Consider the following 17,515-nt stretch of genomic DNA (forward strand, 5'->3'; position numbering starts at 1 on the left):
GGGTCGCTTTTTGGGATATCCAAGGTACTGGTAATATTTTATTTCTTTACTTGGAGTTCAGAGGTTTTCGCTTTACTCTTATAATAGTAGATCTTTATAGCTTAGTTATCACTAAGAAATTATTGCCAAGAAGTTAGTTTTGAAACATTATATAAATAATTTTAAAATTCCTTCCTTATGTATTTTTTCTTCATGAATTTTTTCTTTTTTACTTTTTCAAGCTGTTATTTCTACAGTATTCTCAAGAATTTTTCAAGTATTTGTTGAGACTGAAAATGTCCATACTTTTGATTTAGAAATTTGATATACTAACATATTCCTCCCATTCCTTCTGTCTCATTCCTCGATTCCTTCCACTCCTTCTGTCCCCAGAATAATGAATCAGCCAAACAAAAAACCTCGATATTTGAATACCAAATCACAATTATAAATATGAAAATTTTAGCAGCATGAAAATGGTTTAAAATTTGTGAAAAGACATAATATTGAATATTCACTTAAAGCTATAGAAAAAAGGACAACTATATAGAAAGATTAGAAGGGAACACGGGAAGGTGAAAAGATGAGTTGAGGAGAGACTATTGGCTAGAGTTTTTAATTTGTTTGGTTTTTGGATTTTAATGTGTTATTTAATTTTTAAAAATAGAGAAAGAAATTCAAAGTCTAGGTTATGTTACCAGATAAACTGTTAACTTGCCTTGTATTGTGATGTGTTGATATTCATTTTACCAAATTGCTTGGGCTTTCAGTTTTCCAACCTGGAAAATGTATGATAGCCGAATATAGAAAATTTCTTCTAAAGGTTAGATATTATTTCTGTCTTCGTGAGCTGCTCTGAATTTGCTTGATTTCTTGATCTCAGATTTGTCTTGGTTTTGCTGAATTTTTAACTGTTATATTGAACCATTCTAACTAGAGAATCTTACATTTTTCTTAATTAACATTGCTATTGCCCTTAAAAAGTTTTTCCCATGAACTGGTAGGTTAGGTAACAAAAAGCCTGTAAACATTAGTCAAATAAATTATTTAATCGAAAGACTTAACAGTAATAAGTACTTTGTTTTTAGGAAAGAACTGGAAAAACTGCGAAAAGATTTGGAAGAAGAGAAGACAATGAGAAGTAATCTAGAGGTAATTAATTTCTTCCAGCATTGAGAGTTTAGTGAGCATAAACTGGACATGTTTTTCCCAACCCAACTGGGTAATCGGTTCCTGTACAAATTATGCTATACTACTTCAGTTGGACATACACACAATGGACTACTATTCAGTCACAAAAAAAGAATGAGATCCTGTCATTTGCAACAACATGGATGGAACTGGAGGTCATTATGTTAAGCCAGGCACAGAAAGAGAAACTGCATGTTCCCACTTATTTGTGGGAGCTAAAAAAAATTGAAACGATTGAACTCATAGAGATAGAGAACAGAAGGATGGATACCAGAGGGTGGGACGGATATTAGTGGAATTAATTAGTGGCAAGGGTATTCTTTTGAAATTGGAGTCAGTCCTCTTAAACCCTGCCTCTGCTTTATCAACTAAGTTTATATTTTGTAAATCCTTTGTTATTTCCACAATATTCACAGGATCTTCACCAACAGTAGATTCCACCTCACAAAGCTACTTTCTTTGCTGATCCAAAAGAAGCAACTCCTCATCTGTTCAAGTTCGATCCACTTTTAATTCTCATTGTCTTGCTGTTTTTACCACATCTTCAGTTCTTTTCTCCACTGAAGTCTTCAATCCTCAAAGTCATCCCTGGGAGTTGGAATCATCTTCCAAAATATTGACATTTTGACTTTCTCTTATGAATCGTGAATGTTCCTCATGGCATCTAAACTGATGAATTTTTTCCAAATGGTTTTCAGTTTATTTGCCTACATTTATCAGAGGAATCACTATCTATGGCAGCTATAGCCTTCCAAAATGTGTATCTTAAATAATAAGAATTGAAAGTCTAAATGTCTCCTTGATTCATGGGCTACAGAATGGATGTTGTGTTAGCAGACCTGAAAGTAACATTAATCTCCTTGTTCATTTCCATCAGAGTTCTTGGGTGACTAAGGGCATGGTCAGTGAGCGTTCATATTTTAAAAATAATCCTTTTTTTTTTTTCCTGAGCAGTAGGTCTCCACTGTGGGCTTAAAATATTCAGTAAATCATGCTGTAAACAGATGTGCTGTTATCCAGGCTTTGTTGTTCCATTTGTAGAGCATAGGCAGAGTAGATTTATCATAATTCTTAAGGGCCAAGGATTTTCAGAATGATAAATAAGTGATGGTTTCCATTAAAGCCACCAGCTGCATTCACCTAACAAGAGTCAGCCTGTCCTTTGAAGCTTTGAAGCCAGGGATTGACTTCTCTCTAGTTATGGAAGTCCTAGATGATATCTTCTTTCAATAGAAGGCTGTTTTACCTCCTTTGAAAATTTGTTTCCTGTAGCCAACTCCCGTCTTAGCTAGATCTTCTGGATAACTTGCTGCAGCTTCTACATTAGCACTTGCTTTACCTTCCACTTTTATGTCATGGAGATGGCTTCTTAAACCACATGAACCAGCCTCTGCTACCTTCATACTTTTCCTCTGCTGCTTCGTCACCTCTGTTGGGCCTTCAAAGAATTGAAGAGAGTTAGGGCCTCACTCTGGATTAGGCTTTGGCTTAAGGAAATGTTACAGTTGGTTAGATCTGCTATCTAGACCACTCAAACTTTCCTTCATATCAACAATAAGGCTGTTAAGTTTTCTTATTATTCATATGTTCACTGCAGTAGCACTTTTAATTTTCTTCAAGAACTTTTCCTTTGCAATCAAAACTTGGCTGTTTGGGGCAAAAGGCCAATCTCTTGACCTGCTGTGGCTTTCAACATTGCCTTCCTCTCTGAGCTTAGTCATTTGTAACTTTTTATTTAATGTGAGAGGGATGTGATTATTTCTTTCACTTGAACACTTAGAGACCATTTTTGGGTTATTAATTGGCCTAATTTTATTATTAGGCGTGTTCTATCTCAGATAATAAGGAAGGCCAAGTAGAGGGGGAGAGAGTCAGAAGAAAGGCTGATCAGTGTAGCAGTTAGAACACACATGACATTTATCAATTAAGTTTGCTGTTTTATATGGGTGCCAGAACAATTACAATATTAACATCAAAGATCACTGGTCACAAATCACCATTAACATATATAATTACAGTGAAAACATTTGAAATATTGTGAAAATTGTCAAAATGTGACACAGTGATACAAAGTGATCACATATTGTTGGAAAAATGGCATCAATAGAGTTGCTCAGCACAGGATTACCACAAGCCTTTGATTGTAGACAATGCAGTATCTGTGAAGCACAGCAAAACGAAGTACAATAAAAAGAGGTATCCCTGTAGTTCTCTCTTCTGTGCAGTTAAGCTATTTTCATTCTTTCTTTGCTCAGGGACAGGACTGGTAGTGGTGACATATGGCTGTAGATTCACTGCCTCCCATTTAAACTTAAGAGTTTATCTTAATTCTCCACTGGTGATTGGCAATTTCGACTATTTCCTTTATCTTTCTTAGCTTTCTTTTTCTCCTTCACTAATGTTTATGTTCATTTGCATTATTCTTTCTGCATATCTCAGAGAAAGTTGTATCCTACCTTTTTTAGAGACTCTTCCCATTGTTTAAGTATTTCATACTCCCTTCTGTTTTTTATTCTGCCTGATTACTTACCCTATTTCTTTTGTCAGCAGTTTGTAGAACAAGAGAGAATTGGGGACTTGCAGTTGGAAAACCTTGGCTCTTATCCTGAGAATCAACTAACTTTTTTGTTTTAAACTGTGTATTAGTTAGGCTTAGCATTTTTTGCACATTATCTCATTAGACACACATAACAACATGTAAGGATTATTGTTCCTATTATAAGATTGAAAAAAGTAGGGTTTGGAATGATAGTATTAGGCTACTCTTGCATTGCTATAAAGAAATACCTGAGACTGGATAATTTATAAAGAAAAATTTAATTGGCTCATGGTTCTACAGGCTGTATAGGAGGAAGCATGGTTCCTGCATCTGCTCAGCTTCTGGGGAGGCCTCAGGGAGCTTTTACTCATGGTGAAAGGGGAAGTAGGAGCACACAGTTCATGTGGCGAGAGAGGGAGTAAGAGAGAGAGTGGGAGGGGCCACGCAGTTTTAAACAACCAGATCTTGTGTGAACTTACTCATCATGAAGGGGATGATCCAAACATGGATCATCTAAACACCCCATGATCCAAATACCTCTCACCTGGCCCCACCTCCAACACTGGGGATTACTTTTAATCTGAGATTTGGTGGGGACACAGATGCAAATCGTATCAATGATTAAGTAACAGCAATGGAGCTGAAATTTAATTTTAATTTTAATTTTAATTTAATTTAATTTATTTATTTATTTATTTATTTATTTATTTATTTATTAGCAGTGGTACGAACTCGGCTGACTGCAAGCTCCACCTCCTGAGTTCACTCCGTTCTCCCACCTCGGTCTCCAGAGTAGCTAGGACTACAGGCGCCCGCCACCACACCCGGCTAGTTTTATTTTTGTATTTTTAGTAGAGACGGGGTTTCACTGTGTTAGCCAGGGTGGTCTTGAACTCCTGACCTTGTGATTCGCCCGCCTCAGCCTCCCAAAGTGCTGGAATTGCAGGCATGAGCCACTGCGCCTGGCCTTTTTTTTTTTTTTTTTTTTTTTTTTTGAGATGAAGTCTTGCTCTGTTACCCAGGCTGGAGTGCAATGGTGCGATCTTGGCTCACTGTAACCACCACCTTCCAGGTTCAGGCAGTTCTCCTGCCTCAGCCTCCCGGGTAGCTAGGACTGTAGGCACGTGCCACCATACCCAGCTAATTTTTTTGTATTTTTAACAGAGATGGGGTTTTGCCATGTTGGCCAGGCTGGTCTCAAACTCCTGACCTCAGGTGATCCACCTGCCATGACCCTCCAGAGTACTGGGATTACAGGCATGAGCCACTGCACCTGGCCTTAAAGATGTTTTTAACAGAAGCAACCAATCTTCAGAACCTTTGCACTTCGGTACTAAATTATACTGTGTGAACTTAGGCAAGTCACTTAACCTCCTTTAGCTTTAGTTGAGATAATTTATGTGAAAGTACTTTGTAAATTATCAGACTTTATTTTATCCTTGTTTCCAACATTATCCTCTATTGGCAACTTCACTACTTTGCATGAAAATACTTGACTTTTTCCATTATTCAGAATCAAAGAATAGCCCCCATTTAGGTCTAGCTGCCTTCTTGATGTACTGCAGTTACTTTCTCTTTTCACTTGAGGTTCATTTGTGAAATATGAAAACAACTGCCATCCTCTTAAAAAAAGTCTACTTTTGTGGTCTCTGATTTTTCACCTTCAATTCAGTCTGTAACCCCTTGCATCTTAGGTTAGGTTTACTGATGCCAAATTCAAGGTCTCTTCTTCAGTGCCTGCAACAGATCACATTTTTTACCATTGCCACCCTGTCAAAGGTTTGTCTTGGTTTAGATGATACTACATCCTATTGTCTCTAACTTCTCCATCTCCTCTTCCTTCTTTTTTTACTTTTTTAATTTTGTTTTTAGAGACAGGGAGTCACTCTGTCACCCAGGCTAGAGTACAGTGACACAATCATAGCTCACTGCAACCTCAAACTCCTGGGATCAAGTGATCCCGCCTCAGCCTCCCAAGTAGCTGAGACTACAGGCATGCACTTTCATGCCTGGTTAATTTTTCAGTTTTTTGTAGGGACTGGTTCTCACCATGTTGCCCAGGTTGATCTTGAACTCCTGGCCTCAAGTGATCCTCCCACTTTGGCCTCCCAAAGTGGTAGGATTAAAGGTATGAGCCACCATGCCTGGCCTTCCTCTTCCTTCCTTGTAACCTAAATGTAAATATTCCTTCACTGGTATCCTTGGCTTTTCTGTTTGAGCATTCACATTTTGAATTCATCTATACTCATGAATCTAATGATTAGCTCTAGTGCCTCTCCCCTCTAAATCAAATTCGTATTTTCCCAGCTTGTATCCTGTGTTTCTGGCTATTAGTCCCCCTTGGATGTTTCATCATGAACTTAGATTTAGCATGTCCCCAGTTAAATTTATCATCTTCCTTTCCTGTTCTTTTGATTTCCTGTTGCTGTTGATAATTTCTGTTGCCCATATAGTCATATAGACATGGTACCTTGTACATAGTTCTCTTCTAGTTCCATTCACTTCTAGTCCTATTAGCTTTACCTCCTAATCTTTATGTCTTTATCCCCACTGTATCTGTCTTGTTCTGATGCTTACTATCTTCTGCTTAGCTTTCTTGAGTACTCTAATTCTTATCTCAGATTAACCTTTCCTTCATGGAGTACTTTCAAGAGCTTTCCATTACATGCTGAATAAAGTTCCAACAACTTACTATATGAGGTGTTTTTATAATTTGGTCCTAGCTATCTTTCTTTACTTGCTGATTCTCCATTGTGCCTCTTACAATTGATAAGTCCGAATTTTTATTCTTACTGTGTTTTCTTGGATTGTCCTTTTGCCTCATCTTCTAATGCCCACGTTCTACAGATTCTCAAGGCCCTGCTCAAACAATTACCTTCATTAAATTGATACTAGTCTGTCTCTGATTAAAAGTAATTTAGTGGCCGGGCACGGTGGCTCACACCTGTAATCCCAGCACTTTGGAAGGTCAAGGTGGGTGGATCACCTGAGGTCAGGAGTTCAAGACCAGCCTGGCCAACATGGCAAAACCTTGTCTCTACTAAAAAATATAAAAATTAGCTGGGCATGGTGGTACACACCTGTAATCCCAGCTACTAGAGAGGCTGGGGCATGAGAATCACTTGAACCCAGGAGGCAGAGGTTGCTGTGAGCCGATATCATGCCACTGCACTCCAGCCTGGGTGACAGAACGAGACTGTCTCAAAAAAAAACGAGTAGTCTTCCAAATTTGCAAGACTTGTAGTTTTATAAGAGATGTATATATAATAACTTCCTATATTTTCACTGTTAGGGTATGTACTTATTCTACCTGTCTTTGAGACTGTAAGGTTGTTTGGGTAGGATCCATGTTTTTTTTTATCTTTGCTCATAGCTCCTAACACAATGCTATATACATATTAGATATCTAATAAATTATTGACAAATTAATGAAAGTGTACATGTTAAAAATATATCTTAAATTCGCAGCATGTAATGTAGAAATTGAGAAATTTTTAAGCGTTTTTTGACTTTTTTCTTACATTTTATACATACATGTTTATATTCATATGTGAAAATAAGATAATGAGACATAAGAGGAACTTAATAGTGTTAAATTTGTATATCTGACTTAATTTGCCATAAAAATTATGACAAGAGTCAAATTGTTTCTCTTTTGGATAATTCAGTATGATTTTATTTTTCTAGCAAAGTGAGCTGTTACTTGGCCTCTCACTGACTTGTATTACAAATATATTTTTTCTTTTGTTGTGGGCACAGTTTTACCCTGTATTTGTAAAAGCACACCTAAGGCACTAAAGTTTTAGAATAATTTATTTAAAGGAGAAAGATGTTTCTCCAAAGATTAAAAGTAGTACTTTACTATAATGTTAACATTATACAGTATTATAATGTTCACTAAAAATGAACAATGAACATACAAGTGCTAAAAGAGAAACTCTAGCAATGTATTTGCCTGATAACTAATTTTTTTCCATACATTATTGGGGTAGAGGTGGTATTTGGTTACATGAGTAAGTTCTTTAGTGGTGATTTGTGAGATTTTAGTGCACCCATCACCTGAGCAGTATATACTGCACCACGTTCGTAGTCTTTCATCCCTCGCCCCCTTCCCACTCTTCAACTCAAGTCCCCAAAGTCTGTTCTATCATTCTTATGCCTTTGCTTCCTCATAGCTTAGCTCCCACATGTCCATGAGAACATACAATGTTTGATTTTCCATTCCTGAGTTACTTCATTAGAATAATAGTCTCCAATTTCATGCAGGTCACTGCAGATGCTGTTAATTCATTCCTTTTTATGGCTAAGTAGTATTCCATCATATACATCACAGTTTCTTTATCCAGTTGTTGATTGATGGGCACTTGGGTTGGTTCCATGATTTTGCTGTTGTGAGTCTTGCTGCTGTAAACATGTGTGTGCAAGTATCTTTTTCGAATAATGACTTCTTTTCCTCTGGGTAGATACCCAGTAGTGGGATTGCTGGATCAAATGGTGGTTCTACTTTTAGTTCTTAAAGGAATCTCTGCACTGTTTTCTGTAGTGGGCTGTACTAGTTTACGTTCCCACCAGCAGTGTAGAAGTGTTCCCTGATCACCTCATCCATGCCAACATCTACTGTTTTTTGATTTTTTGATTATGGCCATTCTTGCAGGAGTAAGGTGGTATCGGATTGTGGTTTTGATTTACATTTCCCCGATCATTAGTGATGTTGAGCATTTCTTCATATGTCTGTTGGCCATTTGCACATCTTCTTTTGAGGATTGTCTATTCATGAACTTAGCCCACTTTTTGATGCGATTGTTTTTTCTTACTGATTTGTTAGGGTTTGTTGTAGATTCTGGATATTAGTCCTTTGTCAGATGTATAGATTCTGAAGATTTTTTCCCACTCTGTGGGTTGTCTGTTTACTCTGTTGACTGTTCCATTTGCCATGCAAAAGCTCTTTAATTAGGTCTCAGCTATTTATCTTTGTTTTTATTGCATTTGCTTTTGGGTTTTTGTTCATGAAATCCTTGCCTGTGCCAATAACTAGAAGGGTTTTTCTGTTGTTATCTTCAAGAATTTTTATAGTTTCAGGTCTTAGGTTTAAGTCCTTAATCCATCTTGAGTTGATTTTGGTATAAGGTGAAAGACGAGGATCCAGTTTCATTCTCCTACATGCGGCTAGCCAATTATCCCAGCACCATTTGTTGAAAGGGGTGTCCTTTATGTTTTTGTTTGCTTTGTCGAGGATCAGTTGGCTGTAAGTATTTGGGTTTATTTCTGAGTTCTCTGTTCCATTGATCTATGTGCCTATATTTATACCAGTACCATGCTGTTTTGGTGACTGTGGCCTTATAGTATAGTTTGAAATCAGGTAGTGTGATGCCTCCAGATTTGTTCTTTTTCCTTAGTCTTGCTTTGGCTATGCGGGCTCTTTTTTTGATTCCTAATGAATTTTAGAATTGTTTTTTCCAATTCTGTGAAGAATGATGGTGGTATTTTGATGGGAATTGCCTTGAATTTGTACATGGCTTTTGACAGTATGGTCATTTTCACAATATTGATTCTACCCATCCACGAGCGTGGGATGTGTTTTCATTTGTGCTGTCTGTGATTTCTTTCAGCAGTGTTTTGTAGTTTTCCTTGTAGAGGTCTTCTGACTCCTTGGTTAGGTGTATTCCTAAGTATTTTATTTTATTTTTTTGCAGATACTGTAAAAGGGGTTGAGTTCTTGATTTGATTCTCTGCTTGGTTGTTGTTGGTGTATAGAAGAGCTACTGATTTGTGTAGCTCTTATACCCGAAACTTCGCTGAATTGTTTTATCAGTTCTAGGAGCTTTCTGAAGGAGTCTTGAGGGTTTTCAAGGTAAATGATTGTATCGTCAGCAAACAGTGACAGTTTGACTTCCTCTTTATTGATTTGGATGCCCTTTATTTATTTCTCTGCTCTAATTGCTCTGGCTAGGACTTCCAGTACTATGTTGAAGAGGAGTGGTGAGAGCAGACATCCTTGTCCTGTTTCAGTTCTCAGAGGGAATGCTTTCAACTTTTCCCCATTCTGTATTATGTTGGCTGTGGGTTTGTCATAGATAGCTTTTATTACATTGAGGTATATCCCTTGTATGCCAGTTTTGCTGAGAGTTTTAATCATAAAGGGATGCTGGATGTTGTCGAATGTTTTTTCTGCATCTATTGAGATGATATGTGATTTTTGTTTTTAATTCTGTTTATGTGGTATATCACATTTATTGACTTGTGTATGTTAAACCATCCCTGCATCCCTGGTATGAAACCCACTTGATCATGGTGGATTATCTTTTTGATATGTTGTCAGATTTGGTTAGCTAGTATTTTGTTAAGGATTTTAACATCTGTGTTCATCAAAGATACTGGTCTGTAGTTTTCGTTTTTGGTTACGATCTTTTCTGGTTTTGGTATCAGGGTGATGCTGGCTTCATAGAATGAATTAGGGAGGGTTCCTTCTTTCTCTATCTTGTGGAATAGTGTCGAAAGGATTGGTACCCATTCTTCTTTGAATGTCTGGTAGAATTCTGCTGTGAATCCATCTGGTCCTGGGCTTTTTTTTGTTGGTAATTTTTTAATTATCATTTCAAATTTGCTGCTTCTTATTGGCCTGTTCAGGATCTCTAATTCTTCCTGATTTAATCTAGGAGGGTTGTATTTTTCCAGAAATTCATCCATCTCTTCTAGGTTTTCTAGTTTATGTGCATAATGATGTTCATAGTACCCTTGAATGATCTTTTGTGTCATTCAAGGGACCAGCAGTGGGCGGGGCCGTAGAACTCCCAAGATTATATGCCCTTAGTCTTCCACTACTAGGGTGGGTAGGGAAGGGCCATCAGGTTGGGGCAGGGCTAGGCATGTCTGAGCTCACGCTCTTCTTGGGCGGGTCTTGCTGTGGCTGCTGTTGGGGATGAAGGTGAGATTGCCAGGTCACTGGAGTTGTGTAGCTAGGAGGAATATGGCTGCCTATGCTGAATCATGCTGGTTGTCAGGGAAGTAGGGGAAAGCTGGCAGTCACAGGCCTCACCCAGCTCCCACGCAAACTGAAGGAGCAGTCTTAATCCCACCGTGCCTCCCCCAACAGCCCTGTTTCCAGACAGTGGGCGAGATGGGCTTGAAAACTTGCCCCAGGCTACCTGCCTTCTAGCTGCGAAAGAAAAGGGCTTGGTTCTTCCCTCGCCTGTGGAGTCTGCAAACCAGATTTGCCGCCCTACCCAGAGTTGTGGCCTGGAGGTCTCTCGCCCCGTTCAAATTGTTACAAAGTTTAGCTAGAGATTTCCTTCTCCCTGTGGAGTTTTACCCCCTGCTTCTCTGGCTGCCCTCCCTATGGATCCCTGTGGTGCCAGGCAGGAATGGCCTGCTTGGGGACTCAGCAAGCTCCCAGGGCCTTTCAGCTGCTTCCTCTACCCCCCTTGTATTTTGCTTGGCTCTCTAAATTGAGTCAGATCCAGGTGAAGTTGGAAACTTCTGCAAACAGACCTTCAGTTTCTCCAGTGCGGGGTGTGTGTTCGGGAGAGGAGGGTCTCCCTTTCTCACTTCCGCAGTTGGGACACACACACTATTTGGGGTGTTTCCCAGGTCCTGCAAGAGCAGTCCGCTTTCTTCAGAGGGTCTGTCGGTCCTCTCGGGATTGCTGGTTTGTTCTTGCAGTCGGTCTGGAGTTAAAATACACAATGCGAGTCTCCGCATGCTGTTCTGTCTGGAGCCGCAATCTAGTCTTGCCTCCTGTCCGCCATGATGATCCCTGTCCAGTGATAACTAAATGTATGTCACAAATAGCAGTTTACAAGAAGTATTGCTGATTATGCATGCAGTAGTAGCCTTCACACTCCCTACTCCCTCTTCTACCAATTTGTTTTTCTTACCGCTTTCTGTATCTTTGGAATAAAGACTTTAATAACAGATCGGGCTGACAATGAAAGCTATCGTCTCAATCCAAATTGAAGACAGGCTTGTTGTAGTCCAGTGCTGCTAAAACATTGAGCTAATCATCATAATATTTACAGAATCATATCAAGGAAGATCCTGAAATTAATAAACGGTTCTTGAGTAGTTATAATCCTTTAGGAGATTGTGAACATATAAAAATTATACTTTTTGACTATGGCAAAGTCCTAATCGTTTAATAATGTGCTGTTTGTCGAAGCTAGCCAAAGCATGTATTGTTTATGTGCACTCTTGAGGAAGGTGATGCCATCAGGATAAGGCAAGGCCTATATATTTCCTCATGCAGGGAAAGGTTAAAGATGATCAAAATGTTATAGAATTGAGAAGAGAAATCAATATAAAAACCATGGGCTTTAAAGCCCTAAATCTTACCATGACAAGTCCTGTGTCACTTGTTAGTGTGGAACATTGGCATCCTGTTTAATGTCTTTGAGCCTCAACCTAGCCATTTGAATATGGCAGTATTGAATAACTCTGTGTAGTTATTGTGCAAACTTAATGAAATGATCTCCTTCTTCATAAATTCCTTAAGTTATGAATTTCCTTCTGCCTAAAGGTGGAACTATATCAAGCACCTTGACTGAATCTTAGATATATTCCTGGGCTTTAAGATATTTAATGTAGTATATACTGGTTACAGATAAGTAAATTGAAACCAAGTCAAGTGATTTAACAATAATTATAATTATAATTAAGTATAATTAGTGAAAAACATGGAACTAAACAGGTCTCTATTCTTTTTACTGTTGTTTATGTATCCTTTGTTTAATTATAGATACATGTACATTTCTTAATTTGGTTTCAAGGATTCTTTTGTTCTTTGTAGGACTGACTGATTTTTTTACAGCTTTAATTTTAAATGCTCACATGACTTAACATTTGTTCTGGCTGAAAGGGCTATAATTGCTTTTTTCTTATTGTAACTGCCATTTAGGAACTTGCATTGTACTGTTGAAACTTTATTCAACCAAATTATAGCATGGGAAACTGGATTTTAGGTCTGGAAAAAAAGTCTGAAGGCTTGAAAGTATGATCACATCTTAATGACATAGAGTAAAATAAACTACTAAACTAAGGATATTTTATGTTTGCTCAATTTATGTTTTTTGTTTTAGATGGAAATAGAGAAGCTGAAAAAAGCTGTCCTGTCTTCTTGAGTGGTGTGGACCTGGTGTTCATAATGTTCCAGGGATTCAGAAGCAACGCTATGAACTTCAGCTGACTTGTTACTTAAAAATTGTGAATTCTGTTGTTGTGATAAATATGAGCAAATGAAGTGTAATATCTATAGAAAAGTAGAGTGAGGGTGAATTTATATATATATTTTGTTTTGCCAATATGAAGAAAAAGAGGCCTTATTTCTTAACTGTGCTGGGATTGCAAACACTTTTTAAAAAATTGTTTGCTTGAAAATACTACTGAATATAAATAAGAATGTGCACAGTAGTTTTTTTATTGAAACTTGTATTATTTTTAAAGAGATCTATACTATAAATATGGTGATATATTTACAAGTAATCTGTTAAGATATACTATTTGAGAGGGACAGATTAGCCTTTTAGTAACTATAGTCACTACTTTTTCCATAATGCATAAGGGATATAAACTCTGTGTGTGTGTGTGTGTGTGTGTGTGTGTGTGTGTGTGTGTGTATATATATATATATATTTTTACTTTTATCCTCTTACCGAAGGTTACACTGTTGTGCCTGTTTGTCTGCAATGCTGTTTATATTTTGGGTGATGAAATAGGAGTTTCCTAGCTATATAAACCAGATTACTCACCCATGCATATAGTAAGAACTAATGAATAATCAAAATAATTTCATCAACTTTTAGAATATTTTATGTTGCTTGCACTATAGGAGTCATAAAAGGAACTTAGTTAAAATATGTTGGATTGTTAAACATTTGGGGAAATATGAACTGTATTTTAAATTTGTTAGGTCTGAAGAATCTAAAACTGTTAATTTAACCCTTAACTTGTGCCTAGAAACTACAGCACATATAAAATATGTAAACACCAGCCTGTTGCTGTACTTTTCTGCTTATTTTACAGCCTCAAATATTTCTCATTATCTTGTCACTTAGTTCTTCATGTTTCTCCTTCTGACTTTTAATAATGGTAATAGGAAAACAAAACCCAAAGCTTTTCAGAACTTCAGTGTGAGGTTTCCTATTTTGACAAGTTAACTTGTAAATACTCAGGTTTTACGATGTATAATTTACCTAATAGACCAAACTAACTCATGGAGATATTTTGAACTATTATTTAGGTACAAACTTTATAAAGAATGTTAGTATGTCATAAAATATAACATTACAGCTTATTTAAAACCAAATATAGTTGAACATATTTAAAATACATTTTCACAGAATGGATGAATTAGTTGTTTCTTCAGAGTTACTTATGAACAGTTGAATGCTTTAAAATGTTCTGTCTGTAGGTAACATCTAAAACACAAGTGGGTTTATTTAAATTTTTAAAATTTGAAATTTTTTATTTGCAAAAAATTGTTTTATGCTTTATTATATCGCAAATGAGTGTCAGATTTTTGAGTACCAATGATCATGCTTCCATTTTTTTTAGTTTTAAACCACCAAACCAATATTTTTCCTTTAAATTTTAATCTTATAATATAGAAATCTTATGTAAATGAAATTTTGTCATGTTTCAAATAAAGAGAACTGAAGTAGAAAATAGAAATGCCAGTAAACAACATAATGTTTAATTTACAACTTACATTAGGGGTTTGGGGGAATGCTAATTATATATTGAGAATATACATTAGAACTCTTCAAAATGGGCTCTTCTAATGAGGTCACTACTGAACAAAATTGTTCCCTCTTCTGTTAAATAGAATAGGTTTAAATGACTAGTCAAATGAATTATTTTCTTCTTGTTAAATAAATTAAATCTTACTTTCTTTTAATGACCAACCTTAGGTAAAACAAAAATATTGTAATCCTAGAAATTATCCTCCAGCTTTCTCACCTGAAAATCTATTGAAGTGATCCCTGGTCATCCTAATAATGGGATGAGGGAAGTTTCCAGCAGATTTCAGGCTGTTCTTAAAGTTTTTGTTGGTCATTTTCTCAATAGTACATGAAATCAAGATGCTTATGAGCATGGAAATGTATTTAAAGTTTTTGCTTGTGTCCTCCTCAGTCAGAATAGAAAAGTAACTGAAATACTTTTACCTTTCTGTCCTTGATAAAATAGTAAAGAAAACCAAACAAACCCAGGCCTGATGGGAAAAATGATTCCTTTATTCTAGCAACTTACTTTCTGTTGGTATGGGAAATGTTATTAATTTCTATTACTAAAGTTCATATCACAAAATGATATTTAATAATAACCTTGGGGTAAATCATGAATTTTTTTTCTACGTGTGAGTATAAAAGACAAAAGTTGAACAGCATGGAATCTCATTGCCAAATTATTAGTGAATGTATAGTTCAGGTATTCTTTGAGACACACAGTATCATTAATTTCTGAATTGTATTTCAGTGTTATTTTTTGTTTGTGACCACTAAGCTTCTGTCTTAATACAAAGCTGTTACCTTCTACAGAATTTAAGTCTGAAGATGTAAAGAGAGAACAGGCCTTGTGTAACAGAAGATACTCTTTTTTATGCTCCTTACTGTGATCACAGAAAAATTAAAAATCCAAGTGCTCTCTAGATTTGTTGATAAACATTTTATGCTTGCATTTAAACTTGAAATGTATGAGCAGAATGAGACAATCAGTTAAATCAGAAATGAGAAGTATTATAATGTAAAGGCCTTGTTTTGCTGTAGCAATAAAATGACCAAGTGCAATGACTTGATTTAATAAAATCATATTTTAAAAGTTGCTGCTATGAATATTTTTGGCTATAAAATTTTACCCTGACTTGCTTTCAATAACTGTTACGTAATGCAGTTGATGTTGTAACCTAACATTCCAAAAAAAAAATTGAGAGGGGGAATCTCAAAATAGTATATACTTCACTAACTTGTTTACAGGTGCTGTATTTAAAAGCATGCTTCTCTCTCAAAAAGAAAAATTAAAGGATTTTATTGCCAGTCGTGTCAGTCTTTATTGGTTATTTTTTGTTAACTTTAGCATTTGTGTATTTCAGAGTATGATGAAAATTATATTACTTCAATTTCCAAATACAAGAATAAATAGTAAACCAAAAACATTAAAAATTCTAGACCCGTATGACTTTTACTGAACTTTTCTGAGTCTGGTTTTTCATCTGAAACTGAGACAGTAATTTCTACTTTACAGGATTATGGGGAGAATTTGAAATAGTTTATCTAAATGGCTTTGTAGAGTGCTTGGCATAGAGTAGGTTTTTTTTAAAAAAAAAATGGAGGCTGCTGTTTTACCTTTTTAAAAAGCATTTTACAGTGATGGATATGATAAAAATTAGATGGATAAGGTTAAGAAAAAGGAGGCATTGTGTATCCTTTCCCCCTGAATACGGTATAGTATCCTTTTCTTTGGGGAGATGCTCCTTTCATTTGTATTATATTGTTCAAAGGGGAGCTGCTACCATCTTACAGATTCTACCTCCTTGATCACCCCACCCAGGAAATCCCTTGAGAGAGTACTTGGCTCAAACTGAGTTACTGAGTTAATCAAAGAATGAAATTTTTAAAATTGGAAACAAAAAGAGCTAATCTCAGCATGGGAGCTCTCCACAGTTCTGTTTTTCTGTCATCTGGAAAAAGCTGATTTGAAAAACAAAATTTAGTAGAGCATAGATAGATGGAAACAGAATCTGGAAGGACTTTGAAACTGATTGTAGCTGTTGCTGAGTCTCAGCTGTCTATTGCTTGGTTCTATAAGCACAGACTTGCTCATAAGCTTGTTGGGTTTCTGAACTCACAACCGAAAAAGTCCTGATAAATAACAGAAAACAAGATGAAATCAGGAGAACATTAAGGTCCACATACTTTTGCTGAACATAGATCACATATAGCTTTAGAGATTCTAGTAGTGTGCTGGAAGATTTGAAACAGAAGGAATAGGACACCACTATAAAGCAATGTGGAAAATTAGTGTGTCATAAGATTTTTAAAATCTTATTTAAAAAATTTCTAGTTCTTACTGGCTTTTAGAAGCACTAGACAAAAAACTTTGGAGGCATATAATGGTAAAAGTTTTGGACTATAGAATTTGTGTTTGAAGAGTGCAGATGGTTTTGTCTGAAAATACAATTTGCAAATTTAGCCCAGTTCTAGGAAATAAAAGCAGGTAGCAGTTTAACTCACCTGGATTTATTAGGCTGTATTCTCAAGATGCAAGAGAGACTGGGTCTGGGTGTTAAAATTTTTTTTTCTGAATCCTGTTGCATTTATTTTACCACTGACACCATTTTTGTGAATCTGCTCTTCCATGTAAGGAAAATAAATTCACAAATAGATATCAGTATTTTTTGTATAGAGTCAATAGTTTTTTTCTGTCATGAAAGGTGTGGCTATTTTGCAACTATTGGATGGTATTATTTCCTATCAGGTTCCAAGTGTTTCTTACTGACTACATTTCAGTTCCCTTTAAAAGTGTGTGAATAAAGTTATTGAAAGTAAAACTACATTTTAAGTGCATTGAGAAACTTTTTTTTTTTTTTATTCCAGTCAGGGTCCTTCTCTATTACCCTGGCTAGAGTGCCGTGGTGCGACCTCAGCTAACTACAACCTCTGCCTCCTGGGCTCCAGCAATCCTCCTGCATCAGCCTCTTGAGTAGTTGGGACTACAGGTGCATGCCACCACACCCACCTAATTTTTTTTTGTTTGTTTTGTTTTTGATACTGGGTTTCACCATGTTGCCTGGGCTGGTCTTGAACTCCTGAGTTAAAG

General features: G+C 36.4%; 1 protein-coding gene across 3 annotated transcripts in view, besides 1 other annotated feature; it reads left to right on the forward strand.

Moving 5' to 3' along the window:
* CD2AP (CD2 associated protein) overlaps positions 1-15,858 on the forward strand; it is a 149,475-nt gene extending 133,617 nt beyond the window's left edge. For all 3 annotated transcript variants that reach the window (NM_012120.3, XM_005248976.2, XM_011514449.3), the window contains 2 exons: positions 1,068-1,131; positions 12,781-15,858. In NM_012120.3, the coding sequence (NP_036252.1) occupies positions 1,068-1,131; positions 12,781-12,822 (106 nt within the window). In that variant the 3' untranslated portion in view covers positions 12,823-15,858. The remainder of the gene's footprint in view (positions 1-1,067; positions 1,132-12,780) is intronic.
* Positions 9,912-11,111: an enhancer, noted in NCBI's record as "MED14-independent group 3 enhancer chr6:47589053-47590252 (GRCh37/hg19 assembly coordinates)". NCBI's record gives its function as "activates an origin of replication core promoter dependent on BRD2, BRD4, P300/CBP and CDK7 cofactors, and independent of MED14, by STARR-seq in HCT116 cells {active_cell/tissue: HCT116}" and the evidence as "EXISTENCE:reporter gene assay evidence [ECO:0000049][PMID:35650434]".

Source organism: Homo sapiens, chromosome 6 (genome assembly GCF_000001405.40).
Source record: "Homo sapiens chromosome 6, GRCh38.p14 Primary Assembly".
NCBI classification, from domain to species: Eukaryota; Metazoa; Chordata; class Mammalia; order Primates; family Hominidae; genus Homo; species Homo sapiens.